A 27,215-nucleotide genomic window follows, 5' to 3' on the forward strand; every position below is an offset into this window, starting at 1 on the left:
CCACTGAGACCAGGCGTGGCTTCAAAGCCACTGCTGCACCCAAAGGTGAGCCCAGCGCAGTTGCCAACACCACGTTGCACCTCAGCATTTCCGTTTGTAAAGGAGGCAGAAAGCGAGCCCAACCTCTGCTCACTACCCCAGGCCCCTGGGCTGCAGAGAGGGTGACCACATGTGATGGAGACATCTCAGGAAAGGACGGGCTGAGAGGAGAAATTCTCCTCCATGACTATGGGTCCCCAGGGGAGGGTGAACATCGGAACCTGGACCTGTTAAGTGGCCCATGCCATTTGACATCTGCCTCCTTTTAAAAGTGGAGGCTGAGAGCCTGGGTGTTGCAGCCCAACAGACCTGGGTCCCGGCTCAGTGGTATACAGCTGTGCAATTGGGAATAGCGAGTTCTCCCTGAGCCTGACCTTCCCCATCTGTAAAATGGGGCTAATGATAGCACTGACTCGCAGGTACTATCAAACGTAACCATGTGACGGAGGCCCAGCCCCCAGTGTGCATGGTAAGTCTTCACAAATGCTGGTTCATGTTATTATTTTTACTATATAAATTCAAGAGAACCACCTATAACGCACACACCATATGTGAGTTTGAGGCAGAAAATCGAGAGAGTGAGCCAAGGTGGCAAAGCACCACGTTTTGATACTCAAACATCTTTAGAGAAGGGCTCTGTCATTCTGAGGACTGCAAGCTGCTCCCACACTCTCAATATGACCTTTGTCTAGGGTCTTATCATTTCCAGAGCTCCTTCCTCTCCATTTCATCTGATCCTCACCACAGCCCTATAATGTGGGCAGGGTGAGTATGCTTCCTGTACCCCATGCGTAGAGGAGAAAAACAAGTCTCAGAGAGGTTAAGCAACTTGCTCAAGATCAAACAGCTTGAAAGTGGCTGAGCAGGATCACAAATCCAGGGCCGCCTGACAGGGCTGGAATGAGAATAAAGCAAGTCAGAAGCCTAGCGTGTGCAACTTCGGGAGACACTCATTCGTAAGACCCTGAGAGTAAGTATCTCTTCAAATTTTGCCCTGCTGTCTGACCCCAAGCCTTGGGCCCTTCCTAGAGCACTGAGGCTGAGCCAATTGTGCAGACACTGCACAGAGGAGGTCAGCCCAGCAAGAACTCACTCCCAGCTCCTTGGGGTGGCTGGATCTACTGGCTGAGCTGAACATCTTCCTGTGGAGCTCCAAGGACCACTTCCCAAAAAAGTAGAATGGAACAGAGGGTGGAAGTGGTGCTGCGACAGCCATGTAAGGCTTCCATGCACCCTTGAGTTTGAGGGCCAGTAAAGAGGGGCTGGGCCAGGCAGCCCTTCCCCAAGGCCCCTCTAAGCCCTTATCAGCCCAGGGGAGGGATAGGCCAGGACAGGCAGGCAAGCAGCCCACAGGGGTGGCTCCCAGGACAGTGGCTTCTGGATGCTGGCCCACCAGACAGTCAAGGCTCTCCACTCTCCGGCCGCTCAGAGCCCAGCTAGCCCCCAACTCGGCCTCCCTTTACCTCCCACAGGGCGTAGGAGGTACTGACTAGCAAGGAGGCTTATTTTAAATCTGCAAAAAGAAAAACTTTTCTAATGCAGATGATTACACTTACTAATTAGTCAACTTCGTTGTGCCTGGGTTACTGCAAATTTAGCTTTCCTGCAGAAACAGCACCTGTTCACTGAGGGACAGTATTAGGTAGTAGGAAACTGTGCAAGCTTGAGAGCCATTGGGGTGGGATTCAAGCCCCACATCCCCTGGGCAAGTCACTCACCTGCTCTGAGACCATTCCCTCCTTCTATAAAAGGGGACTAGAACAGTACCTGCATCATCCAGTTGTTGCTATTACAAAGACCAGCCACAATTTATTAAGTGCCTATAATGGGCCAGGTACTGAATTTCTTTTTCTTTTCCTTACATGTATTAACACTCACGACAACTGTATAGGTTTGTCTTTTTGAAGTATAACTTACAGTGAAGTGCTCAAATCTTCAGTGCACAGGTCAATGAACTTTTACATGTATTCTCTATCCTCTAATCAAATATCAATTATCATAGATCACTGTTGCCTGTTTATGAACTTCATACAAATGGGCTCATGCAATATGTGCTCTGTTGTGGCTGGTTTCTTTCATTCAACTTTGTTTTAGCAATTCTTCCACATTGTTGTGTACCAGTTATTTGTTCTTTTATATAGCTGCATAGTATTCCATGATGTGACAATCCCACAGTTTGTTTGTTTATCCATTGACCTAGGTGTCATTATCATCATCATTATCACCATCATCCTATTTTACAAATGAGGAAACTGGGATCTGAACTTCTTACTAAGTGTTTAGCTTGAAGTCACAGAGTGACCTTGAGGCCAAACAGGGACTTGAACCCAGGTCCCTGTAACTCCAAAACCAGCTCCTTACCACGGACAATAGAGCCTCCCATAGCTCTGGAATACTGGGATTGGCGGAAATGAATGCTGACCTGTGTGGTCATGAGCTCCTTCTCCCTGAGGTACATTTGGAGTCAGGGGGAAGCTACCTGCCTGGCTCCAGGTGCTGAAAAAATTGCCTTAGTTTTGGCGATTGCCCATATTTATTTTCATTGCAACCCAAGCTGATAGCACAGGTACAGTCATCACTCACAGCCCTGTACTTTGAGACCTGGGCTTTGCCAACATTTCAGAACAACTGCAAACAGCTTCAATGTGGAGGAGGCATCCTTGTCCACTGACCAGCAGCTGGCTCTTATGGGCAGCCCCTGCCCTGGCTCCTCAGAGTCTGGTTTTCTATGATGGTAACTCAGCTGTAACCATCTGGGACTCCCACAGAAAGCATTGTAGGCCAGGTTTCTCAACACCAGCCTTACCTATCAAGAGGTGAGACCCCCAGTGCTGACCTTATTCAAGAAAAGGCTGAGATTTTGCCTTGCTTTCCAACCTTCAGAATCTCTGCCTTCTGCCCAGCAGGCAAGTGGCAGGCCTTAGAAGGGCCACCTGCAAGGCAGCAAGGGGGTGACCAGGGGCCTGGCTAACCTCCCCACCTCCTCCCCCTCTGAACTCAGGTAGCCTCCAGTCAGTCCACCCAGACATGATTAAATGGTTGGCTACACACAGGGGTGGAAGACCCCGGGGGAAGAAGGGCATGGAGCCAACTCCCTGAGGCAGCCCTAGGGCACCCTTTGGTCTGTTGATCATTAACAGAAGCCACCTCATGGCAGGCAGAGAAGGGGAAAGTCCAAGGGGATGGCCTACCCCCTCCTCCCAGACTCCGTCCTCCAAATGTGCCAATGCAGGGCCTCATGGGAGGTGAGGTCATGGCACTCAACGGAGGGGGTGTGTGCAGAATCATCTAATCCAACTCGTTGCCTCCTGTGTTCATGCAGAATCTCCACAAAAGGCCAAGGGAGAGGGCAACTAACACTGATTGATTTGCAGTTACTGTGTGCCAGGGACTGCTCCAGTGTCCCAGCCTACAACACTCTAGCATAGTGATGGAGGTCGCCTGCCTGGGTTCAAATCCTGACACCGACTCCCTGTATGACAAATTAGTGAATTTCTCTGCACCCCAATTTCTCCATCTATACAAAAGGAACAGTATAGAGCTTCCTCCGTGGGGTCATTATGATCATTCAATGAGTTAACACACAGGAAATTCTTAGAGGACTACCTGGCACTTACAAAGAGCTGTCATGACTAATGGCTCGCTTGATCTCATAGTAACTCCTTGAGATACAGCTGAAAAATCCAAGGTTGAGTCATTTATCCAAAGCACAAGCTGGTAGAAGGGGAGCTGGGATTTGAACCCTGGTCCAAGGGCTCCATTCAACACCCCTTCTTCCTTCACGCCCTGGATCCTTCCCCTGCCATGACCCCTGCCTCTTCGGTAACCAGTGCTTCGTGATCCAGTTGACTGTAAAACCCATCTTCAGACTAACCCACAATCTCAGTTGGCCCTCAAAGCCCTCCTTTCATGAGTGTCACTGAACCATAGCCTTCCTCCTGAGAATGAGGCCTCCAGGCCAGGAAAGGCATTGCTCGGTGGCCAAAATAGCTCATTTCTTTGAGCTGCTCCAAGAGAAGATCTTCATCCAACAGCCAGAGAGTGGGTTGCAGGGCCAGTAGCCACAGAGGCCCCACCCATCCATGGCAGACCTGGTGCAGGCCCCTAAACCCAGCCTTCAAGACACCCTGGCCTCCAGGGTAAGGGGTGGAGAAGAAGGCTTTGTGCCCCAGGATTGGCCTGGCCTTTCCTGACCCACTTCCCTCGTGAAAGCCTTCCCTTCAACTCCCTCAGCATAGTTCCTATCCTTCCTAGCTGCAGAGGAGCTCAGAGATAGGGGTTTCTTGCCAGTTCTGGGCTCACACTTCCCTGGCCTCCCTGCCAGACTACAGCACAGGGCTGCTGCTGAGGCCCCTTCTTCTAACATCCTGGAGAAATAATGGGCCTGAAATATTCTGCTGTTCCCTTTCCCAAGGGCCATCTCCTCTAACTTTAAGGACTCAATGGGACACAACCAGGCTCTTGTGGCCACCACACATGGGCCTGGGTTACCTAAATCCCAGCCTGAGTGAGTTCCCCAGGGAGACACTTAGGTAGAGGTAAAGGGTTAAGACCCGGGGACATGGAGCTTCCCCACATGATAAGGAGTCTCCCCTGGGCTTTACAGCCAACCCCCACCCTCCAGGGCCTCCAGTAGTCAATGTCTCTATCTTGGTTAGACAAAGTCAAAGGACTGACTCAGTCAAAGGACTGTCTCCTCTAGAGGAAATTCAGGGCTGGCCAGGAGGTACGCCTGGGCCTCTAGGAACCTAACCAGCGTCACCATGAGAGGGGAAGTTAGAAAGGTGTCTGCCACATGCTCAGGTATGCCTGCAGGGAATGAGCTCAAGGTGAATGATTAAATGTCTTTTTTGCTTTTACTCCGAAAGGAAGATCACATGCCACCACCAACCACCACCACCACCACCTCCACACACACACAAAGTTCATTTCCTCCTTAAGGGACAAGAGGCCTAGGTTTACTCCAGTCCTAAGAAGGGCTGCTTTTCCCCTTCCTAAACCACCAGCCCCTGCCCTGGAACAGGTAATAGTCCCTATTTTTCTACCTCACCCCCTGACCCCCAGTAGATATCTGATGACCAGGGAAATGAGTTGAGAGTAGAGGTAGGTCTTCGAGTCTCAGGGACATCCCTGGCCTGCCCAATGTCTGCTGCAGACCTTCGGAAGAGGCCTGGTGGAATCATGGTGACTCAGCTGAACTCCCAAAACTTCCTGGGTGTAAAGGAACCAAAGGCAAGTGAGCTGCAAATAGCAATCTCTGCCTCTCCCCAAATAAATCCTCCCAAGGCTCACACTCAAGATTTGTGAAAGTTCCAACTCCTCCGGCGGGTGAAATGCCACCTCTTAAGTGGTCATCTAGCCTTGGTGGGGGTGCATCTAGCCAAGGAGACCCCACCTTTCCCAAGATGACGACATACCTAATTTTGCATAGCACCTGAGATTGTAACTAAGGTGGTGGGAACCCTTGGTGACTTGCTGTGTTGTGTTGGCCAGTGTTAACACTCACTTCCCCTTAACAGCCCTCCAAACCCAAAAGGCTATGTCAAATCCAGTCCCAGTTCCCAGTTCCTTGTGACTGAGCCCCTCACCCCGCTGGACATTCCTCTCCAAGCAGGCAGTGCTTCCTTATACCCTCCCCACACGGGTAGGTGTTGAGAGGCCAGTACTGAGGTAAATTTCTTTCTTATGGGCAAAATGAGCCCAAGGCACCCCAATAAAAGAACTCACTCAAATCCAAGCCTGCAAGTGTGCCAAGTGCTAGGTCCTCTTTTATCATTTTGGCACCCCAAACACCATCCAAAGGAATGAAGAGCACAGGCTGGACGGGGCGGACTGGAAGGCCCTGAGCCTTGGCTCCCCAGAAGAACCGCAGAGGCCACACAAGTGTCGGCAAGGCTGGGCCCGCTGCTATTCAGCCAACAACTAACACACTGCACAGTCTTTTCAGAAGTAATACAGCAGGAAGTACAGGCTCCTTTGCAGAAAACCTCCACCCCGTCCCCTCTAAGCGCAGCAAACTGCCAGCATCAAGGAAGGGAGCTATAGGCTTAGCTTATAGGGATGAGAGATGCCGCCACCCACAGCCACAGCCCTCTCTCTCCGCCTCCCCCTACCCAGGACTTGCAAGGTATACAAGGGGAGAACCTTACTGGCAAAGTCAAACCAAAACCAAGTAAAACCAGCTCCACCATCAATGTTTCTTGAAAAAACGGGGTTTATTGATTTTTAAACTGCAAATAGTCGTTACAAAAAGTTTTTTTTTCTTTTAAATAAATTCACACAAAGAAAGAGAAATAGAAAGCGACGGTAGTGACCAGCAAGAGGAATAATAATTACATTCATCTTAATGTGTGTGTGCCAGTTCTGTTTACATTAACATTGGAAAACTCCAGACCTGGAATCCAGAACCTCAAATCTGTGAGTGGAATGTCTTGAGATGGGCACGTGGAAGTCAAAGGGTTTCTCTTTTTTTTTTTTTCCCCTTTTAGAAGCTATACATAAAAAGTTGTTTTCCTTCTGTACTGTCACAGAACTTTTACATACATTCTCAGTCCTAGTTGTGAAAGGCCTAAAGAGAAAGAAACTCAATTTGCAGTCCAACACAAAGGGGGGAATTTCTAAAATAAATAATCCAACAGTTTTTTGCATTTTTTTAAATTAATTTTTCATTTTTTTAAAATAAAATAACCAAAAAAGTGTAAAGTTACAAAAAATGTCGTTGAAGAATAATATATTAAAACTGTGGAAAAAAAGGAAAAAGACACGTCACAAAATTTTAAGATTAATATGAAGATCATAATTTAACATAAAAGAATATATTCTATGGATTTGTCATCCCGATAAATATGAACAAAATTAACAAAAAAAAGCATAGTTTGGCAATAAATACGTTTTGATAAGTTAAATAAGCTTTTTTATATTGATGTGCAGTGACAAGCAAAATTTTTGCTCTCCAATTTCTGAAAGTTATATGAAGTTTAAAACCCAGGGAAGAAAGCATGGCGTGAGTGCTCTAAGGATAGACCTACGGTATTCTAGAGCAAAAACCATTAAAGCTACTTCTACAGGAAATCGTTTTACACAGATATTGTATGTGGAATGAATACCATTAACTGCTCACCCCTTACTTTTTTTTTTTTAGCTTTTCTCTCATTTTTTTTTTGTTGTTATTTTTTTTAAAAAGATGTCACATATGAACTGGGGAACTTTAGCACCAAAATCAAGTCTCTCCTAGTCCATCTAGCTTCCCCTTCCTCCCCACTTAAAAAAAAGAAAAAATTAAATCACAAAGTCCCACTTAAGTCAAAATCTTCGTCCGCTTTTTCAGCCTTCCTTCCTGCAGACCTACACAAACCCAGGCAAGATTAGTCAACAGGGGTTCAGATCGGGAAGAAAAAGGTTTTGAATGTCAAGACAGGTTTCCCCCAAAACCCTGGTCTGGCAACAACTCTTCCAAGGGGCAGGGGTGGGGGGGGTGGGGGGGCGGGTACAGGTGGAGAGGTGCCACCGGGAAGAGGGGAGGAGGAATAAGTGTGCGGGAGACTGAAATGAGGGAAGGTGCAGTTGTGTCGCCAGTGGAGGGGGCTGCTGGTTCCGGGTCTCCACCCCGCCATGGGCAGAGGCTCCGGGAGGCCCACGGGTGCCCTCTGGCGCTGAAGAGGTAATGTAGTCACAGTGACAAAGTTAGATTACAAGGCACTAAGTTGCTTCTGTAAACTGTTACTGCTTTTTCTCTTGTGATTTGGCACTTAAGGCTTAAGCCGGAAAAAAAAAGGCATCTACTGACAAAATATGGGACTTGTCTGTTATGCATGGTAAGTGGGCTATAAAATCCAGGGAGGGGGTTTCAAGCCAGAAGAAGCTACTGACAAATTGACTTGTCCTTATGTTAGGTGGGGTTATGAGGGGGAGAGGGAGGGCACATTCTGAGGTGCTGGGGGAAAGGGGTTGAGCTTAACCTTGTTAATGTAGGGCCTGTGGGGAATGGGATGGGTAGGGAGAAGAGGGTATGGGATGTGGGTGCAGGGTAGGGGCTGGAGTAGGCAGGAGGTCCCTCCCTACCCTGGCTTAGTCATCTGAGATGGAAAGTCTGCTGAAGATGGGCAGGCGTCTTGAGTTGTCCAAGGTCGGGGAGTCTGAGCCACTGTGGCTGCTGCTGGAGCTGCTCAGGTAGCCCTCCTGGTCCGAGAGAGAATCCTGAGGGCTGGGGGGAGAGTCAAACATGTGAGGGGACTCGGACATGGGCCGGAAGAGGAAGGTGGTCGGGGAGCCACCCCCGGGCAGCCCCATGCTAGGGGCAAAGAGGCTTGCCAGCTCCTGGCTGGAGAAGGCAAAAGGGTTATTGGTGCCATCGGGCAGGGTAGGTGAGCCCAGGAGGTCATCGGCGCTCAGAATAGGGGGTGGGGTGATGGACGTGGGGCTGTCCAGCAGCCCGGTGGCAGCGGCGGTGGCAGCGGCACTGGGAAACCCAGCAAAGCTAAAGCTATGCTGGAGGCGGGGACGGTCAGCGGAGAGGTCCCGGGCCCCGGCCAGGGCACGGCGCTCTTCAGCGTTGTGGATGAAGTGGCAGCGGGGCCCGTAGGGGCAAAAGCCGATGGTGTGGAAGGTGCGGCACAGCTCCGTCTTGTACTTGGGGTGGCGGGTCAGGCTGCGGAGCTCGTGGATGCCGTGTGCGAACTGGCACTTGTCCCCGTACTTACAGGCACCGTTTTCCTCAAAGGGGCGGCACAGCTCCGTCTTGTAGCGGCTGGAGTTGACCTGGCCGCCCCCGGGCTGCTTCTGGGTGGGCAGCAGCCGCTCGCCCCCTTCCGAGAAGGAGCGGTCTCGGAAGCGGCTGTCTCGCGAGCTCAGAGCGGGGGCTGGCTCACCCTTGAGGCTGCTGAGGAGCTGGTTCTGGTGGAACTTGGAGCTGGGCAGGGTGACTGAGTGCCTCCGAGGGAAGCCCCCACCAGCAGGGGTGCCCACTGCCTTTCTGTCCAGCAGGCAACCCCCTGCACTGGGAGCACTATAGTTGAGCATCTTGTTACCCTGGAGAGAGAAGAGAAAGGATGGTAAGGACAGAGGACATCCACCAGGATGTCCACTATGGGCAGCCCCCTACACAATCACAAACGCCCGCTCTTTCTCAAAGAACTCATCTCTACCTCGGCTCTAGCAAGCTCCCTTCCCTCTCTCCCTCCCATAGGCCATTCACCTGGGTTTATTTTGGCCCCATGCGTAAGAAACCACAAGATCCAAACTGTGTGACAAGCACCCTGCTCCATGCTGACTCCTGCAATGCAACCCCCATGTCCTCTGTCCCCAAAGCTACCACTTTAAAGTTCAACTTTTTTACTAGTCAAATAGATTCTTCAACTCAAAATATCTCACACAACCCAGACCTCTCTAGATTACCGCACCCCGCCCCCGCCACCGCCCGCGACAAAAACAGGTAAACCTCAGAAAGGAGTCTATCATAGGCTACGTTAGGTCCCCTTCCAATCAGTCTCTGCTTAATTGATACCCCCTCCTTCAAGACCTGGCCTAAGACTCTCAACTTCCTCCTTCAGAAGTGTTCCCTTCCTTTGGCAACAGGTTTTCAGACTGCCTTTGCTTTTTCTTGTGGGGAGGAGATTGGGGGCCTGGTCTGAGGTTGGGGGAGACAGGGATGTGATTCCTGAAAATAAAACTCTTTGCCCTAAGTTCCCGGAAGAGATATTTTCTACAATAATCTCTCTCACCATTTCCACTCAGCCCTAGCCCACCCCGCCCCCTTCACTGAGAAGATGCCTTTGCAATTAGTCTTTTGGCTGCAAGAGCAAGCTTGGATAAGAGCTCCAGTGTTTAATCTTTAACGCAAAGCTGCAGATGGAAAGGAAAAGGAAAGCACCAACCCCCCTACCCACCTCCTAGTCAATAGCGGATTGGGGGTGGTGGGGATGGGGGCAGAGCCACCAATGGCAGGTTTCTGTTCCAATAGGACCCTGGTCACCTGCCCAAATTGTACCCAAGATTTGGAAATGGTGCAGGTCAGGGACCTAGGAGTTAGTTCCCAGCCCATGTGGGTGTCATTGTGCAAATTCTAATGTTGGTCCCTTAGGATCAGCAGGGGGGGACCGGGAATCTGTAACTGCAACCACCCCACCGAGAGGATTACAGGAACCCAGTCGAGAGCTGGTTCCCAACAATGAGGTTCATTTAAAAAGTCGTGAGGGGGGAGGGGGGCCAAAGAAAGAAATAGATCAAAGAGCGGGAGAGTCGAGAAAAGAAGGAAGAAATGTTGGGGAGCGCTGGCAGCCGGGCTGGCAAGTGGAGTTTGGGAATGTGCAGGGAGGGAAGGAAGCTGAAAAATTCAAACTTTTTAAATGCTACTCTTCAGCTCCTCGGCGTCCCTGCACCCCAACCCTGCAGCCCTGGGGCGTTGGCAGCTGCACCAACAGGAGCAGCAAGCTGGGAAAACAGAGCAACATGACCCGACGTGTTAAGAGAAGGCAAAACACTTCAGCAATTAAAAAGTAGCCCAGCAGCTTCACCCTTTCAAATTGGGAGGGGGAGGTTGGAAAGAAATTTAACAACATCCATAGACTTTTGCTATGTACATTTAAACCGCAGTCCTGGAACATTCCGAGTTTAAAACTTGCTTTTTCAACACTGGCTGACAAGCAACATGTTTTAAGGAGCCCCCCATTAAATCCTTACTCGCGGGACTCTCGAGTTCAAGCCAGCATTTTGTCGCCACCTCCCCCCCCAACCCCGCCCGCAATCGATGAGCCGCAATGCCTCGGCAACACAGGTAAGCGGGTCAACCTGAATGCCTCTTTCACCCCAAAGTTTGCTGCACGATCGGCTATCGCGGGAAGAAGCCCAACGGAGCTAGGGCGGACTCAAGCCCCACTGCAAACTTGTTCTGCAACATCTTTTTGAATCACAACTTGGCCTTTCTTCCTCGCATATCCCCAGCTCCCCCCAAAGAGTGGAGGAAAACATTGTCCCGAGACTCACTTCCCCGAGGGACCTCCCACTCCCAACCCCACGGGTGGGTAATGCCGCTGGACAGACCTAGGGCGCAGACTGGGAACCCGATCAGACCAGCAAACCTGGGATCCAGCAGCACGTTACGTAAAACAGGATCGCCCAAAACTTGTCCCAATCCCAGCCCTCCCCCCGAAGCCCCCGGGCTGCCCTGCCAGGCAAACTTCGCCCCTCAAAACCCTGGCCTCCAGATTCACATGTAATCCCCGCCAGCAACTGTTGAAACTCAAAGGGTGGGAAGGACGGGGCCAAATTCCTTCAAACTTGGGAGAAATGCCGGAGGAGAAAAGAATCATCTCGCTGCACCACTTTCCCCATTGCCTTCCAAGACCCAAACTTTTGGGGGTTCTTTCTTAAGGCAAAAGAAAAAGACTTTTTGAAAAGCAAATGCTCCGCCCCCCTTTACCTTGCATAAAACTTCGCTCAAGTCGAAGATGGTGGCAGACACGAGGGTGGTGGTCATCCTGTGCGTTCGCGCGAGCCAGGGGCGAGGATCTGGTGTGTCGCGAAGGTCCCGGTGCGGGGAAGGCGCAGCCTCTCCTGTCTGGAGTCCCACACGCCAGTTCCCGGCGCCCCTCGCCTTTCTGACTCCGGGCTGGGGCGCGCAAAGCCCAATTTATAAAGTTCAGATTTGGTGGGCCGGGGGGAGGAGGAGCTTTAAACTTATTTAAATGAGGAAGAGGAGGAAAAAGAAGTTGATTGACACTGGAGTTGAATCAGCCATGCGGTCAGGCGGGGAGGGGGGGCAGGGGGAGGAGAAGAAACTTTCAAAAGGAAGAAGGGGGAGGGGAGACGAGAAAAGAAGGCGGAAAAAAAAAACCCCACTGTGAGCCGCGCACAACTTTTTTTTTTTTTTCTTTAAGAGGAAAAGTTTCAAGTCGGCTGACTTCCCTACCCGGCGCTTCAGGCGCCCCCTCTCCGGGGCCGCGCGGGCGCAGAGCGGGAGGGGCGCGCCCCCTCCTTTGTCAGCCTCAGAGCGCGGCTGTGACGTCACTCATTCCACTCCCTCCGGGGTTCTTGTTGTCATGTTGTTGTTTTTTGTTGGGCAGGAAGGCGGGCTCGACTTTCTCTTTTTGCCAGCGGGAGCTGAAGCCCGTCCTTAGCGCCCGGGCCGCGGTTTCCATCTTGAGCTGGCGGTCTCCTTGAAACTTCCCCAAGTGTCTGCACAACTTACCTTTTCCCGACTTCTCTTCGACACTCGGCTCCCTTCGGCAAACCGGGCAGGCCGAGGACATTAGAAATTTGGGACGCACAGAATGTTCAAGCCTAGGATTTTATGTTGCTGTTTTTTTTCCAGCGGGGCGTAGGGTGGGGCGCGCTGCTGGGGGGACTAGGGAAACTTTTTCCCCAGGAGGACATGGTCTGGCGGGGGCGAGCGCGGCACAATTTAGTGCGCCGCACGCGTCGACACTCGCGCTCGCTTTGCAGCCGGCGCTCTCCGGGTGTGGGCGGGTGGGGGGCGCCGCAAAAAAAGACCACAACCCGGGACGATTGTTTGTTTTACCAGGCCTAGGCGTGCCGTTTCTTTTCACGCATCCAATCTTTAAACTTTTTAGTCAAGAAAACCCTAATCCTTCCTGAATGCCCCTTCCTCCCAGAAAAAGCCCACCGAGCAACTCACTACTTTCCACGCGCGCTCCGAATTCTGGGCGGCGCCACAACCCTCCCTCCTCCTCCATCCTCCCCACACACACCTCAAGACTCTAGAACAATGAAAAAAGGTTACTTTGGTAAGAATGAAGGTAAAGAGGTGGAGGGAGGCGGCACTTTTAACTTATTGTTGCTTCTCTCTCGCCCCCACCGGAGTGGAACATATGGCTTGTCACGCTGCGCCGTTTTGGCGGGAGGTGGAGAGGGGGACATGGGAGCCACGAAACCGAAGGGCCCGCAATGGAGCATGACTCCCTTGAAAATGATAAAATATATACTGTTAGGTTTGGATGCCGCCCACCCAAATAAAAAGTTAACGAGTCCCCCACCCGCCCCCTGCGCCTTGGCCCGACTGCTGGCGTGATGACCCAGGCGGAAGTCGCAGGGCTGCGCTTCTTTCCGATTTCCACGCGGGCTCCGCCGCCCCCCTCGGCCCTCGCACGTTTCTTCCCAGCACTCGAGGCCGCCGAGTCTGTTATGAAACCCGGTGCTGCGGAGTGGCTAAGATTGAGTTCCATTGCGATGTAATTAGGTCACCCCATTATGAGCACGTTTCTTTGGAAAGGACGGGGCGGGCCGAAGAGAGCGCATTCTCACCACCCCCAACACACACTTTTTTTTAAAACTGCATTTCTTATTTATTCGTAAACATCTGGGCAAACCCAGCGAAACCTTCCAAATCACAATTGTTTGAGAAACCGGCTGTTTTTCAACTTTGTGAAACCCAACTTTTGCTGCAGCCACGAACCTACGTGATCCCAGCGGGGTCGGCTTTCATTTGTCTCCTCTGCCCGAAATGGATGGCCCCCACTTTAACTCGGCTGCTGCCCCTCGCTTGTTCTGCTGCTGCCCTCCAGCCGTCTGTTGCTTCCCTCCCCCGCTCCCATTTTTCAGCTTTTCTTGAAATCTGGCAAGCGCCAGAAAGGGAAATAACTTCCATCCACCTTAATTTAAATCATTCAAGTGTAGGTTTCTTTCTTAGAGGGATGTTTGCTCGTTCCTTTCCCAAGTGGGTGTTGGGGCGGTGGGGGAGAGATTTCGTGCAGTTTCTTGGTGATGAGGTAATGAGTTCCAGATTTCAGGACAGAGCAGAGTGCGCGTTGAAACCACAAGGTTAGTCTGAGTTCTGATGTGAAGCTATTTCGGTTTTTTATTCCCCCGGCCTCCACCCATTCCCGCTCCCCCACCCCCCACCCCCCCCAAAAAAGAGGCCGGCTGGTCTTTAACTCCCGAGGGTTCGCGAAGCTCAGCTGGGGGGACCGGAGGAGGGGCTGGAAAAAAGCAAAGGGGAAGGGGACTGGGAGCGGGCGGGGCCCCCTTCCCGGCCCAGGGCCTGTCCCCGCGGGGCACCGGCTATGCCCCTGCTTCGGGCGGCGCCGCTTTCCCTCCAAGGCTGCGGGACCGGCCAGGAGCACCATCAGGCGCCCCAGAATGGCTACAAAGTGGATTTTTCCAAAGAAAGCTGATTCCTCGAATTTCCTCGGCTTTTCCAACTCCCGGAGGCCCTCCCCTCCCCCTCTCCCCGGGGGCGCGGGCTCCGCAAGGCTGCGACTGGCCTAGCCCGCTCGCTCCCGAGTTGTTTACCGGCCCCGCCGACCAAGGGTTTGTTCCAGCTCCCAGAGCCTGTCTCTATAATTAAACTCTTTTTTAAATTGTCGGGTTGAAACGTCATTTCGGGGACTTTCCAAGGGTGAGGGAGCCGAGAGGAGGGAGCGAGTCCCTTAACCCTTCGCTGACCCGGCGTCCCCGCCGCGGTGAGGGCCCGAGGGCGGGAGCCGACCCGCCCTCGCCCAGACGTGGTCGACAGGTGCCCAGGGGTGGCGGGAGGGCGGCCCTACGGTGCAGGAAGGCCGAGGCGAGGCGTGCGTGGCCGTCCCCCGCCAACTTCGCGGTGCATTCCGCCCTCCCGCTCCTTACCCGCGCAGTCCCCAGGCTGGCCGCCGCCTCACCTGCACTGCCGCTTCCGACCGGGAGGCGGTGGGCCGGCTCCTCTGTCCCAGGCCCGACTTCCGGGCCCTCCCCATTCGCCTGGAGCGCGTCCCTTCGTGGGGAGGGGCGGCCCAGGTATTTTAGCTTGGAGGTGGTGGTGGGGTGGGATGTTCGGTTTTGTGCAAGGGGGAAAGTGAAAGTCTTCGGAGTGAAGGAGGCGCTGCGGGTGTACGTATTCATCGGCCAATCTGGACCCCAGGCGCACCTCAAGGCAGATGACAGTGTGCAGCACTGGGCCGCAGGACCCCAGAAGGTTAGGCCTAGTCACAGGCGTCAGCAGGGTACCCCCTCCTGAGAGCCCTGCAGTGTTGCACTTCCTCTCAGGCTTCAGGTCATTTGCAAAATCCCCCAAATTCTTCAGGTTGAAAGAGAGAGAGACACCTGGAGTCCCCTTGTTTAAAGTTTGGAATGCTGATTCCCTGGCCCAGATGGGGCCGGGGAATCTGCATTTTTGGTAAATTTCCATCTCACGACCCAAATACTAATGTTTGAGAATCAGTGAGCCAGTATATTGAAGTTAGGCAATCCTGGATCCAAATCTTGGCCATTTTCTAGCTATGTGACTTTTCAAGTCACTGACCAAGGCCTCAATTTCTTCATCTCTGAAATAGGAATCATGATAACTGCCTACATTTGGCCCATAAAGTGCCTAGAGTCATGTCTCGCTGCAACCGTCTATATGTCATGCTGTTGTATGTAAACTAAGCCATTTGGCAACCCTTATTACACCACAAAACAAATTCCGGGGCTATTCACTTGGCAAAGGATTATTCAGTGTAGACTTCCATTAAATGGTCAACTGACAACTTATAAGTTTGATCTGTGTCACTCTCTAGCCTCCACCCCCAGCCCTGGATAAGACAGGCCCTGAGGCCTGGAAATGGGGAGAGGCCCTGGGCTTGGAGCCTGGGGGAGAGTAAAGTGGTTCAGGGTAGGGTGATGGGGATCTGTTGCCCATCTGAAAAATACCTGATTATTGACACAAGTATTTTTGAAAACAACTACATCACTGGGGCCCTGTGGTAGTCTGTACAAGCCAGACTATCTTATCTCTCAAAGCCCTCAAGCCCCTCAGAAAGCTTAGTGTGTATTACTGAGCTGTCAATATTCTCCTGAACAAGGCAGAGGCCTCAGGAGAGGGCACTTTAGGGTCTACGGTAAATGCGGCACTGCAGGGTGTCTGGAATCTTTGGGTTTGGGAGCAGGCCGCCTCCTGCTAGGACTACTGAGAATCCAATCCCAGGTCCAGCATTGCCCTGGGGGGTCTGATTGCCCGGGTCTCTGCAAGATGTTCCAACTGTCAGTGAAGTTATCAGGCCAGCCCACAGCTACACCTCTCCACCCACCCTAACCTAGGCCCCACCTAGAGCAGTCTGGCGTAATCTGACTCTCTTATTCCAGCTTGGGTTTTTCTCACTCCCCATGCACTTCTCCCACCCTCCAGGGCACTCCGTGTGCTCTAGTCCTTTTTAGATGAGAATGAGCCATCTTCCTCCTACTCCGGGGCCTTTGCACATGCAAATGCTTCTGTGTGAATCAACCTTCCTTTAGCCCAAGTAAATTCTAAATCATTTTTTAGAACCCAACTCAAGCCTCACTTCCTCAGGGAAAACATTCTTGATGCTTTCCTTTGTCACAAAACAGTGTCCCTCCTCTCTCTTAGGCTCTCATGGAATGTTCATTTCCTTCAAAGTAGTTATTTCAGTTTGTGAGTATACATTCATTCCTGTAACTTTTTTTTTTTACTTTCAATTTAACATACAGTAAAATTGATCTTTATTTGGCATACAGTTCTATGAATTTTAACTTATGAATTGATTCATGTAACCACCACCATAATCAGGTAACAGAACAGTTCCATTACCCCTCAAAAACTCCCTCATACTATCCCTTTGCATTCATACTTTCTCCATCTCTAGTCCCTGACATCCACTGATCTGTTCTCTATCATTGCAATTTTGTCTTTCCCAGAATGTCATACAAATGGAATCATATTGTATGTTTGATTTCACGCAGTATATGCCTTTGATATTTAACCATGTTGTTGCATGTATCAATAGTTCATTCCTTTTTATTGATAAATAGTATTTCACTGTGTGCTTATACAATAGTTTATCCATTTTCCTGTTGAAGGGCATTGGATTATTTCTAGCTTTGGGCCATTATGAATAAAGTTTCAATAAACACTCATGTACAGGTTTTTGTGTGAACACAAGTTCTTATTTCTCTTTTTTTTTTTTTTTCGAGTCTCGCTCTGTCGCCCAGGCTGGAATGCAGTGGCACAATCTTGGCTCACTTGCAAGCTCCGCCTCCCAGGTTCACGCCATTCTCCTGCCTCAACCTCCCGAGTAGCTGGGACTACAGGTGCCCACCACCACGCCCAGCTAATTTTGTTTTTGTATTTTTAGTAGAGATGGGGTTTCATCGTGTTAGCCAGGATGGTCTCGATCTCCTGACCTCGGGATCCGCCCACCTCGGCCTCCCAAAGTGCTGGGATTACAGGCGTGAGCCACTGCACCTGGCCAAATTCTCATTTCTCTAGGGTAAATAACTAGGAGTGAGATTTCTGGGTGATATGGTAACTGCATGTTGAAATTAATACAAAACTGCCAAATCATTTTCCAGAGTGGCTATACTATTTTGCATTTCCAACAACAACATATGAGAGTTTCCACTAGCTCCACATCCTCACCAGCACTTAACAGTATTACTGTTTTTTTGTTTTAGTCATTCTAATAGGTATGTGGTAGTCTCACACTGTGGTTTTAGTTTGCATTCCTCTAATGGCTAATGATGTTGAACATCTTTTCATATGCTTATTTTCCATCTGCATATACTTTTTGGTGAAGTGTCTATTCAAACCTTTTGCCTATTTTTTAGTTGGGTCATTTAGTTGGTCATTTTCTTACTGTTGAGTTTTGAGAGTTCTTTACATATTCTGGATATATAAAGTTCCTTTGTTGCTTATGTGACGTGCAAATATCTTCTCATGTCTGTACCTTATCTTTTAACTCTCCAAGCAAAGGATCTTTCACACAGCAAAAGTTTTTCATTTTAATGAAGTCTAATTTATCAGTTTTACCTTTTGTGGGTCATGCTTTTGGTGTCACAGCTCAGAAATCTTTGCCTAACCCCAGGTCATTAAGATTTTTTGTTACCTTCTGAAAGTGTTATATTTTTCATGGTCTGTTGTTAGGTGCATAAATGTATATAACTGTTCTATCTTCTTGCTATATTGAGCATTTTATTAATATATAATGTCCTTGTCTCTTGTAACCTTTTTTTTTTTTTTTTTTTTTTGAGACGGAGTCTTGCTCTGGCACCAGGCTGGAGTGCAGTGGCGCGGTCTCTGCTCACTGCAACCCCCACCTCCTGGGTTAAAGCGATTCTCCGGCCTCAGCCTCCTCAGTAGCTGGGATTACAGGCATGCGCCACCACACCCAGCTAATTGTTCTATTTTTAGTAGAGACGGGGTTTCACCATGTTGGCCAGGATGGTCTCGATCTCCTGACCTCGTGATCCACCCACCTCAGCCTCCCAAAGTGCTGGGATTACAGGCATGAGCCACCGTGCCTGGCCAGTTGTAACCTTTTTTGATTTAAAGTCTATTTTGTCTAATATTAGTATAGCCATTCCTGCTCTCTTTTGGTTACTATTTGCATGAAATATCTTTTTCTGTCCTTGTACTTTCAATCTGTTTGTGTCTTTAGATCTAAAGTCAGTCTTTTGTAGGCAACATATAGTTGGATCAGGTTTTTTGTTTATCCATTCTGCCAATCACTGTCTTTTGATTGGGGCACTTAATTAACATTTAAAGTAACTACTGATGAGAAGGGACTTAATTCTGTCATTCTGTTATTCGTTTTCTAGATGCCTTAGAGTTGTATTGTTCCTCATTTTTCTATACTACTATCTTATTTTGTGTTACTTGATTTTCCATAGTGAAACATTTAAATTCCTTTCTCATTTTCTTTGGTACATTTTCTTTCTATACTACAACTACAGTAGTCCTTCCTTTATCCACACAGGATATGTTTCAAGACCCCCAGTAGATGCTGGAAACCAGGGATAGTACTGAACCCTGCATGTACTATGACATTTTTTTTCCTTCAGAATTTCATGGATAAAAGTTTCATTCATACTATAGATCCTAGCAATATAAGCATATGATTCTTCTTCCTTGTTGAGAATTTTCACCTTTTCACTTGAAGCAGTTTACTGCTTTGTTCTCTCCAAATTGCCAGCATCACTACTCTTGCATTTTGGGGCCATTATTAAGTAAAATAAAGATTCCTTGAACACAGGTGCTGTGATACCACAGCAGTCAATTAGATAACCGAGATGGCTACCAAGTGACTGATGGGCAGGTAGCAGATATGGTGTGGGTACACTGGACAAAGAGATGATTCATGTCCCAAGCAGGATGGAGCAGGATGGCACGAGATTTCATCATATTACTTAGAATGGCATGCAATTTAAAACTTAAGAATTGTTTATTTCTGAAATTTTCCATTTAATATTTCCAGACTGTGGTCAATTGTGGATAACTGAAACTACAGAAAGTGAAACCACAGATAAGGGGGGACTACTGTATTTTCTTTGTGGTTACCATGGGGATTACATTTAACATCCTAAAGTTAAAACACTGTAATTTGAATTTATAACAGCTTAACTTCAAAAACATACAAAAATTCTGCTCCTTTACAGCTGCATCTGCATCCCTTTTGATTATTGATGTCACATAATTATGTCTTTATACATTTTGTGCCCAAAAATATAAACTAATAATTATTTTAAGTGTGTTAGTCTTTTAAATTCTGTAGAAAACAAATGTGGCATTACAATCCAAAGTTATAATAATTTAAGCTTTTAGACTAATCATTGTTTTTTAAAGTAGTCTCTTAAATTATGTCACAAAGTAAACTTACAAACTGTTGTTTCAATAATACTAGCTCTTATAATTGCCTTTATTGAGATCCTCATTTCTTCATATGGTTTCAAGTTACTATCTACTGTTCTTTATTTTACTTTGCAGGACACCCTTGGGGCATTTCTTATAGGACAAGTCTAGTGGTAATGAATTCCCTCAGCTTTTGTTTATTTGGGAATGTCATTTTCTCCATCACTTTTGAAGGACAGTTTTTCCAGATACAGGATTCTTGTTTGATTTTTTTTTTTCTTTTAACATTTTAAATATGTTGGCCCACTGCCTCTGGTCTCCAAAATTTCTGATGAGAAATTTGCTGATAATCTCATTAAGGATCCCTTGTAGCTGGATGCATTGGCTCACACCTGAAATCCGAGCACTTTGGGAGGCCAAGGCAGGAGGATTGCTTGAGACCTGGAGTTCAAGATCAGCTTGGGCAACAAAGGAAGACCTTATGTCTTTAATTAAAAAAAAAAAAAAGAATCTATTTTATGTGAGTCACTTCTCTTTTGCTGCTTCAAGATTCTCTTTTTGTCTCTGACTTTTGAGAGTTTGATTATAATGTATCCTGGTGTGGGTTTCTTTATTTTACTTGGAGTTCATTGAACTTCTTGGATGTTCATATTCATGTCTTTCATCACATTTCAGAAGTTTTTAGCCATAGTTTCAGATATTCTTTCCCCTTTTCTCTCTCTTATTCTTCTGGGACTCCCAGTATGCATATAATGGTGTTCCACAGGTCCTTTAGGCTCTCTTCACTTTCCTCAATCTTTTTCCTTTCTGTTCCTCAGACTTGATTATTTCCAGTGTCCTATCTTCAAATTTGCTGATTATTTTTCCTGCTTCCTCAAAACTGTCTTTGAATCCTAAAGTGAATTTTTCATTTTAGTTATTGTACTTTTCAGCTCCAGAGTTTCTTTTTACTTTCACTTTAGGCTTGCTATCTCTTTATTGTTATTCCCATTTTATTCATACATCTCTTTCTTGACCATCTCCATATCTTTATTTAGTTCTTTGAGCATCTTTAAGACAGTTGTTTTAAAGTCTTTATCAGTAGATCTTCCATCAGTTATTTTTCAGGAACAGTTTCTGTTGATTTATTTTTTGGATGTGCCATGCTTTCCTGTTTCTTCGTATGTCTTGTGATTTTTGTTGTTGTTGAAAACTGGACATTTCAATCTAATAATGTGGTTACTCTGGAAATCAGATTCTCCCCCTTCACCAAGGTTTGCTGGGTTTGGTAAATTTTTTTTTAATTATTGTTGTAGGCTGTCTCTGTGCCAAGGATCAGCCTGAGGTATAAATGTGAGGTCTTCTGAGATCTATTCTGAGCCTGTGCCTTTCTCTGATCATGCATGGGCATTCATTTTCAAATTTTCCCGGTGTATGTAATTGATTTTGAATGTCCTAGTCTTTAATATCTGGTTCCAAAAAGAGGAAAAAGACAGAAATGAAGAGTTGATTTTTTTAAAGGAGGCCTTCATCCCTTTAAATGCCCTATAAGTTAGTTCAGCAGAAGAGGAGCTTGCAACAATGGGAAAAGGTGTTGGCCCGGTGTGGTGGTTTATGCCTATAATCCCAGCACTTTGGGAGGCCGAGGCTGGTGGGCCCAGCTTGGCTAACATGGTGAAACCCCGTCTCTACTAAAAATACAAAAATTAGCTGGGCGTGGTGGCAGGGGCCTGTAATCCCAGCTATTCCGGAGGCTGAGGCAGGAGAATCGCTGGAACCCAGGAGGCAGAGGTTGCAGTGAGCCAAGATCACCCCAATGCACTCCAGGCTGGGCGACAGAGCAAGACTCCATCTCAAAAAAATAAAAATAAAAATAAAATAAAAAATAAAAACAATGGGAGAAGGTGCAACAACAATGGCCACCTGCATCATTGTCTACATCTCTGTTATCAGAAGCAGTAATCAGAGCACAAATCCCTGATATTTGGAGGACAGGGTCTTTTGGCCCACCCTAGCTCCTGTAAGCTGTGTGCAAGCTACTCCAGGAACATATGCACAGCTGTCTGCCATAGGGTTGGAGGTGGGGGATGGGTAGCTGCTACTGCTCTAAGAGCTGATATTGACCAAAATTAAACACAAATTACTGTTCAAGCCTCCCCCTGGAATTTGCAAGCCTTCAATAGACTCCAGAGTTCCAAAATAGTTGTATCAGACAGATTCTGCCAGTGCAATTGTTTTCTAAGAGGGGAAACATTCCTAGTGCTTCCTACTCTGCCATGTTCCTAGAATCCTCCCCTAAAAGTAGTTACTTCAGATCTGTAATCCATTTAGAGTTAGTTTTTATATAAGATGTAAAATTTAGATTGAGGTTCTTTTTTTGCCTGTGGATTTTCACTTGCAACACTGTTTGTTTGTTGAAAAGACTGTCATTTTACCATTGAGTTGCCTTTACACCTTTCCAAAAATGTAATGGCCGTATTTGTAAGGTCTCTTTATTTTGTTACACTGATCTGTGTCCACCCGTTCACCAATACTACATGATCAATTATTGTAGGTATTTACTAAGTCTTAAGATGGTGTAATTCCTCCAACTTTTTTCTTATTTTTTGAAATTGTTTTAGCTATTCTAGTTCCTTTGCCTTTTCATATAAACTTCAGAATCAGCTTGTCTGTATCTAGAAAAAAAAACCCTACTGAGATTTTTATTGGCAATGCATTAAATCTATAGATCACTACAGGGAGAATTACTATGTTGAGTCTTCTAATTCATGCACATGGTATGTCTATTTAGGACTTATTTGATTTCTTTAATCAGTGTTTTATAGTTTTAATCTTTTTTTGAAATGGGGTCTTGCTATGCTGTCCAGGCTAGCCTCAAACTCCTGGGCTTAAGTGATCCTTCTGCCTCAGCCTCCCAAGTAGCTGGGACCACAGGCATGTGCTACCATGCCCAGCTGTTTTATAGTTTTTAGCACAGGGATTCTATATATATTTCATTAGATTTATACCTAATATTTCCTAGTTTTTAGAACTATTGTAATTTTTTTTTTTTTGAGATGGAGTTTTGCTCTTGTTGCCCAGGCTGGAGTGCAGTGGTGTGATCGCAGCTCACCGCAACCTCCACCCCACTGGGTTCAAGCAATTCTCCTGCCTCAGCCTCCCAAGTAGCTGGGATTACACACATGCACCACCATGCCTGGCTAATTTTGTATTTTTAGTAGAGACGAGGTTTCTCCATGTTGGTCAGGCTGGTCTTGAACTCCCAACCTCTGTTGACCCGCCCGCCTCAGCCTCCCAAAGTGTGGGATTATAGGCGTGAGCCACCACACCCAGCCTTTTGAAATCTTGGTCTCCACTTGTGTATTAGTTTATAGAAATTCAGTTGATTTTTGTGTATTGACCTTGTCTCCTGTGATCTCACAAAATCACTTTAGTTGTAAGAGGATTTTTTTGATAGATTACTTGGGGTGTTTTTGTTTACTTATTTTTGTTTTGTTTTTGTTTTGAGGTAGAGTCTCACCTTGTTACCCAGGCTGGAGTGCAGTGGTGCAATCATAGTTCACTGCAGCCTCAAATTCCTGAGCTCAAGCAGTCCTCCCATCTCAGCCTCCTAAGTAGCTGGAACTATAGGTACATGCCACCATTCCAGCTAGTTTAATTTTTTGTAGAGATAGGATCTCACTATGTTTCCCAGGCTGGTCTCTAACTTTTGTCCTCAAGCAATCCTCCTGCTTGGGCATCCCAAAGTGATGAGATTACAGACATGAGCCCCTGTACCAGGTGTGTTTTTGTTTTTAATGCAGACAAGCACATATTGTCTATACATAGGAATAATTTAATTTCTTCCTTTCCTAACGTATGCATTGTATTTCATTTTCTTGCCTTATTGCTTTATCCAGGATTTGCAATACAGTGTTGAATAGGCATGGTAAGAGTAGATGCCCTGACCTTGTTCCTGATTTTAGGGGGAAAGCATTCAGTCTTTCATTTTAAAATACAACATTCGTTGCCAGTTTTTTTGTAGTCATTTAACTTTTTAACATTCCCTTCCCACTAGGATGTATGCTCCATCAAAGCAGGCTCTCTCTGCTCTCAGCTCAACTCCCAGTGCCTGGCTTAGTGCCTAGCAGAGAGTAGGCCCTCAATAAGTATTCGTGGAAAAAAAATGAAGATTTAGTACTTCTCTACTTCGCTAACTTAGCCAGCCACAATCAGGGTTCTGTATGACAGACAACAGAGGGACTTGGCTGAATATGCACGACATTAGAAGAATAATCTTACAATAAATACCCCAACAGATCCAACTAGGCATTGGCCCCATAGAGTTGACAATCTTAAGCTGCAGAGCATTTGTAGATCAGCTTTTCTGCAAGCTATCCTGTGTCAAAGCATTTATCTATGAGGAATAGATGACCGCAGTATAATAATTATTTCAGATCAAGAGCATTCCATTCCCAAAAGGAATTTAAACAAAAAGCTTTCAGCTCTGAAAAACAGGGGTTTTCAGGATAGAGAATCCCATTGCTCTGAAATCTTAGGCCCTCAGATGGGTGGGGTTGTTTCGCTAAATTTATTTCAGCCACTTATAGAAACAGAAGGGGGAAGAAGGGGGTGGGTGCCTGCACACCAACCCTGGCTCTGTAGCATTAATATCTGCCGGGTTCAGGCTTTTATTTGGGTTTTGTTTTACGTTGCGGGGCTGGAGAGACAGGCAGGCAGCAGGAGTGTCTCACAAATGCACGACTTTCAAATTGCAGTTTCCTACCTTTCTCCATGTACGTTATCGAGAGAGAGAGAGAGAGAGAGAGAGAGAGAGAATCTGCTTGCTTTCTTTCCGGCACAAGTGTGAGTGGAGGGAAACTGGGGTATTTGTCCCTGGCCCCCATGAGAACCCCTACCCAATCCCACACACACATACCTCCAATGGCTCTACTACTTGAATTTTAGGGGTTGTTGGATATAAAATTCAGGCCTTTTAAACCGTGTTTACCTCCTCCCCAGCTTCCCCAAAGCACTGAACACACATTCTCCTTAGTCCCTGATACCTGAACAATCTCTTCTGCCACCCAAACCCCTATAACTAGAAAAAGGATTTGAAATGATGTTGCTTTTTTGGCCTGGCGTGGTGGCTCACGCCTGTAATCCCAGCACTTTGGGAGGCTGAGGCAGGTGACTCATGAGGTCAGGAGTTCAAGACCAGTCTGGTCAAAGTGGTGAAACCCTATCTCTATTAAAAATACAAAAAATTGGCCAGTCGTGGTGGCAGGCACCTGTAATCCCAGCTACTTGGGAGGCAGAGGTTGCAGTGAGCCGAGATAGCGCCACTGCACTCCAGCCTGGGCGACAGAGTAAGACTCCATCAAAAAAAAAAAAAAAAAAAAAAAGAAATGATGTTGCTTTTTTCAAACTTGTTTTTTGCTAAATTTGAAATACTTTACAAAGCACAGGTTAATGACCTCCCACAGATGTAAGGGGAAACTGAGGCACAGGAGCAGGAGGTGGCAGCAGGTGACCCGCACCTACTGCAAGTGGCTGAGATTGAAGTCCAGTATTGATGTCCAGTCCTTGGCTGGCTCTCAGAGGTTCCTGGCTGAACTCAGGACTAGAGAAAGCCTGGGCTCTGTATCTGGGGGCTTGCTGCTGCCTGGCTGCTGCTGTTTGCTGGCAGAAAGAGGAGACATGCATGAGGAAGCTAAGAAATCTGCTGTGCCCGAGACTTGAATAACTACATGAGAACATGGGGAAGTACCGTGCACAGTGCCCAGCCCATGGGAACCCAAGTGCCAGTTTTCTTCCTTGGCTGGGTCACCAAGGAAGGTGGGAGAAGGAGCGTCTGTCCTCTCCTCTCTCTACCCCTGAGGCGGGAAGACTGGCAGGGACTGGTGGGAGGGAGGGTGGCCTGGGGCAGATGCTGGGGAGAGGCCTGGTTTGCAGATAATCCAGGGGGGTCTTGCTCTAAACTGTGGGGTCATCTTCAGGGCAAATCAAGGGATTCACACTTACTAGTAAGCTGTAAAGTGTTCACAGGTAAACCAAGGTACTATTTTGTCCTAGCATCAGTGAGTTTGCTTTGGAATTATCCTCCACTACTCCCTAGCAAGGCCCTGGTATGGCCAACTCCACCCTGAGAGCTGTTCTTTTGAGAAACAGGAACCTCCCCAGCCAGAGCAGAGATCAGACAGCTCTTGGAGGGTTGCCATGTGGACAGCCGGCGGGGGAGTGAGAGAGGACGGGTCTTTGCCACAGCCCTGTGACTTCTTTAGTGCTGAGTTTCTCCCACCAACTGCACCCTCCACCCCGGGGTACTGTGGGCCCCCAAACCAGGGCCTGCTCTTGTCTGACCAAAGGCAACCAGATCTGCTGCAGCTGCTGGGTGAGGAAACAAGCTCTCCCAGAGACCAGGGAAGCAGCTGGAGAAAGATTCCTGCCAGCCCCGGGGGTGTAAATATTTATACAACGTGGTGCTGGTGCGTGGGAAGAGGGAAGGCAGAGCGAGGTGGCAGGAATGAGGAGGCACTGACACGGACAGATTTAAGGAGGCTGCACTTGGGGCCCAGCTAGGAGTGAGGCGGCCCAGGCAGGAAGGAGCAGGAGGCTGCTGGGATCCTAATCCCCACTTGAATTCCTATGTCAAAGAGGCTGGGTCTTTGCCCCCAGCTCTCCTGCCACAGTCAAGGGGAGCAACTTGGAAGAACATTCATCACCCATCCCCTAGTCATTCCTCCTGTTGATTATAGCCCTCTATATAAAGCAGGAGGCACTGCCTGGAATCAGAGATAAACCAAGTCCACAGGGCCTAGGAGTAAGGGCCTTTGGCCTCCTGAAGTTTATGCTTTTCGGGTCTTAAAGGATGCTGGACCCCGAGAGTTGGACTCCAGAGCTAAAGGCTTAGAAAATATAAACAAAATACAAAATGTAAGCAAAGAGTTGTCTCAAGCCTTTATATAACCAACAGCACTTCCCTCAAGTGACAGGGAACACTGTGCATTGATGAAGATGATGAAGGACAGATGGGACCCAGAAAGAGAGCAAGGTGTGCCTATGGAAACAGCCCTCAACCACACTTGCCAGAGAAGCAGGTGGCCACCATCAGCACAGAGCCTAGAAAAGATAAGGCAGTCCAGTGGGTGTCTACCTGGAGCTCTTGAGCCCCCTCACCCCAGGATGCCGCTCAGCTCCGGGTGTGCCCAGGCAGAGCACTGATCCACCGGCCCCTCAGCCGCACCCACTGAGGACTGACGCCCCAGGATGGGAAGCATGCCTGGACCGGTGGGGACAGCCAGATGGACTCCAGTCGATTTGCCTTGGACAGCTGGGGAGCAGGGCCCAGGATGCTCCCACCCCACCCCACCACTCCAGACAGGGAGGGGTGTGGTTGCAATTTCTAGGATTTCTCTGCCACTATGCCCATCAAGAAGTGCCACCTGCCTCATCAGTACCAGGGCTGACCCTCAGAGCCTCCCACAGGTGGGGTTTGCCCAGCGGCCAAGAGTCTTTAATACACCCCACAATTACCAGCCTCTTCTAGCATTCCCCCTGCACCCTCAAAATGACCACTGGCCAAGGGCTGTGATAGTGGGAAAAAAGGACTTTCCACTGGAAAACTGCCTCTGTCTCCCCAGCAGACACCTCTGGATGCCCAGGTCAA

General features: G+C 48.2%; 1 protein-coding gene across 3 annotated transcripts, besides 17 other annotated features; it reads right to left on the minus strand.

Moving 5' to 3' along the window:
* Positions 3,099–3,243: an enhancer, noted in NCBI's record as "145 bp enhancer 48 fragment used in the MPRA reporter construct; PK_construct_57". NCBI's record gives its function as "activates an SV40 promoter by MPRA in HepG2 cells {active_cell/tissue: HepG2}" and the evidence as "EXISTENCE:reporter gene assay evidence [ECO:0000049][PMID:23512712]".
* Positions 3,165–3,178: a transcriptional cis regulatory region, noted in NCBI's record as "HNF1 motif; enhancer activity is reduced when this motif is scrambled". NCBI's record gives its function as "necessary for full MPRA enhancer 48 activity {active_cell/tissue: HepG2}" and the evidence as "EXISTENCE:site-directed mutagenesis evidence [ECO:0005528][PMID:23512712]".
* Positions 3,388–3,447: an enhancer, noted in NCBI's record as "active region_8614". NCBI's record gives its function as "activates an Ori minimal core promoter by ATAC-STARR-seq in GM12878 lymphoblastoid cells {active_cell/tissue: GM12878}" and the evidence as "EXISTENCE:reporter gene assay evidence [ECO:0000049][PMID:35858748]".
* Positions 4,690–4,759: a silencer, noted in NCBI's record as "silent region_5869". NCBI's record gives its function as "represses an Ori minimal core promoter by ATAC-STARR-seq in GM12878 lymphoblastoid cells {active_cell/tissue: GM12878}" and the evidence as "EXISTENCE:reporter gene assay evidence [ECO:0000049][PMID:35858748]".
* Positions 4,780–4,829: a silencer, noted in NCBI's record as "silent region_5870". NCBI's record gives its function as "represses an Ori minimal core promoter by ATAC-STARR-seq in GM12878 lymphoblastoid cells {active_cell/tissue: GM12878}" and the evidence as "EXISTENCE:reporter gene assay evidence [ECO:0000049][PMID:35858748]".
* Positions 5,106–5,400: an enhancer, noted in NCBI's record as "tiled region #7662; HepG2 Activating non-DNase unmatched - State 6:EnhF, and K562 Activating non-DNase unmatched - State 5:Enh". NCBI's record gives its function as "activates a minimal TATA promoter and a strong SV40 promoter by Sharpr-MPRA in HepG2 cells, with weak activation in K562 cells {active_cell/tissue: HepG2 | K562}" and the evidence as "EXISTENCE:reporter gene assay evidence [ECO:0000049][PMID:27701403]".
* Positions 5,690–5,869: an enhancer, noted in NCBI's record as "active region_8615". NCBI's record gives its function as "activates an Ori minimal core promoter by ATAC-STARR-seq in GM12878 lymphoblastoid cells {active_cell/tissue: GM12878}" and the evidence as "EXISTENCE:reporter gene assay evidence [ECO:0000049][PMID:35858748]".
* On the minus strand, positions 6,229–14,817 carry ZFP36L1 (ZFP36 ring finger protein like 1). Of its 3 annotated transcripts, none has more exons than NM_001244701.1 (3): positions 14,649–14,817; positions 11,456–11,644; positions 6,229–9,066 (listed from the first exon to the last, which is right to left on the minus strand). In NM_001244701.1, exons 1-3 carry the CDS (start codon positions 14,721–14,723, stop codon positions 8,107–8,109), a joined length of 1,224 nt encoding a protein of 407 aa, NP_001231630.1. In that variant the 5' UTR covers positions 14,724–14,817; the 3' UTR covers positions 6,229–8,106. The 3 variants fall into 3 exon arrangements, with proteins under 3 accessions (NP_001231630.1, NP_001231627.1, NP_004917.2); NM_001244698.2 differs by lacking the exon at positions 14,649–14,817 and having other exon boundaries at positions 6,236–7,383; positions 8,101–9,066; positions 11,456–11,990; NM_004926.4 differs by lacking the exon at positions 14,649–14,817 and having other exon boundaries at positions 6,236–9,066; positions 11,456–11,641.
* Positions 8,302–8,361: an enhancer, noted in NCBI's record as "active region_8616". NCBI's record gives its function as "activates an Ori minimal core promoter by ATAC-STARR-seq in GM12878 lymphoblastoid cells {active_cell/tissue: GM12878}" and the evidence as "EXISTENCE:reporter gene assay evidence [ECO:0000049][PMID:35858748]".
* Positions 8,372–8,451: an enhancer, noted in NCBI's record as "active region_8617". NCBI's record gives its function as "activates an Ori minimal core promoter by ATAC-STARR-seq in GM12878 lymphoblastoid cells {active_cell/tissue: GM12878}" and the evidence as "EXISTENCE:reporter gene assay evidence [ECO:0000049][PMID:35858748]".
* Positions 8,559–9,174: an enhancer, noted in NCBI's record as "H3K27ac-H3K4me1 hESC enhancer chr14:69256702-69257317 (GRCh37/hg19 assembly coordinates)". NCBI's record gives its function as "activates a minimal SCP1, AML or CMV promoter by ChIP-STARR-seq in naive H9 embryonic stem cells {active_cell/tissue: H9 hESC(naive)}" and the evidence as "EXISTENCE:reporter gene assay evidence [ECO:0000049][PMID:30033119]".
* Positions 11,799–11,868: a silencer, noted in NCBI's record as "silent region_5871". NCBI's record gives its function as "represses an Ori minimal core promoter by ATAC-STARR-seq in GM12878 lymphoblastoid cells {active_cell/tissue: GM12878}" and the evidence as "EXISTENCE:reporter gene assay evidence [ECO:0000049][PMID:35858748]".
* Positions 11,889–12,088: a silencer, noted in NCBI's record as "silent region_5872". NCBI's record gives its function as "represses an Ori minimal core promoter by ATAC-STARR-seq in GM12878 lymphoblastoid cells {active_cell/tissue: GM12878}" and the evidence as "EXISTENCE:reporter gene assay evidence [ECO:0000049][PMID:35858748]".
* Positions 13,262–13,806: an enhancer, noted in NCBI's record as "NANOG-H3K27ac-H3K4me1 hESC enhancer chr14:69261405-69261949 (GRCh37/hg19 assembly coordinates)". NCBI's record gives its function as "activates a minimal SCP1, AML or CMV promoter by ChIP-STARR-seq in naive H9 embryonic stem cells {active_cell/tissue: H9 hESC(naive)}" and the evidence as "EXISTENCE:reporter gene assay evidence [ECO:0000049][PMID:30033119]".
* Positions 13,469–13,628: an enhancer, noted in NCBI's record as "active region_8618". NCBI's record gives its function as "activates an Ori minimal core promoter by ATAC-STARR-seq in GM12878 lymphoblastoid cells {active_cell/tissue: GM12878}" and the evidence as "EXISTENCE:reporter gene assay evidence [ECO:0000049][PMID:35858748]".
* Positions 14,369–14,688: a silencer, noted in NCBI's record as "silent region_5873". NCBI's record gives its function as "represses an Ori minimal core promoter by ATAC-STARR-seq in GM12878 lymphoblastoid cells {active_cell/tissue: GM12878}" and the evidence as "EXISTENCE:reporter gene assay evidence [ECO:0000049][PMID:35858748]".
* Positions 14,809–14,868: an enhancer, noted in NCBI's record as "active region_8619". NCBI's record gives its function as "activates an Ori minimal core promoter by ATAC-STARR-seq in GM12878 lymphoblastoid cells {active_cell/tissue: GM12878}" and the evidence as "EXISTENCE:reporter gene assay evidence [ECO:0000049][PMID:35858748]".
* Positions 25,720–25,769: an enhancer, noted in NCBI's record as "active region_8620". NCBI's record gives its function as "activates an Ori minimal core promoter by ATAC-STARR-seq in GM12878 lymphoblastoid cells {active_cell/tissue: GM12878}" and the evidence as "EXISTENCE:reporter gene assay evidence [ECO:0000049][PMID:35858748]".

Source organism: Homo sapiens, chromosome 14, assembly GCF_000001405.40.
Source record: "Homo sapiens chromosome 14, GRCh38.p14 Primary Assembly".
Classification (NCBI taxonomy): domain Eukaryota; kingdom Metazoa; phylum Chordata; class Mammalia; order Primates; family Hominidae; genus Homo; species Homo sapiens.

Coding starts and splice junctions, on each gene's coding strand:
- ZFP36L1 (NM_001244701.1), bottom strand. CDS start 14,723: ATGGGGAGGGCCCGGAAGTCGGGCCTGGGACAGAGGAGCCGGCCCACC. Junction 11,645..14,648: donor GGTCGGAAGCGGCAGTGCAG/GTGAGGCGGCGG, acceptor TGCGCGCCCCAG/CCCGGAGTCAGAAAGGCGAG. Junction 9,067..11,455: donor TGAGCGAAGTTTTATGCAAG/GTAAAGGGGGGC, acceptor TTCTCTCTCCAG/GGTAACAAGATGCTCAACTA.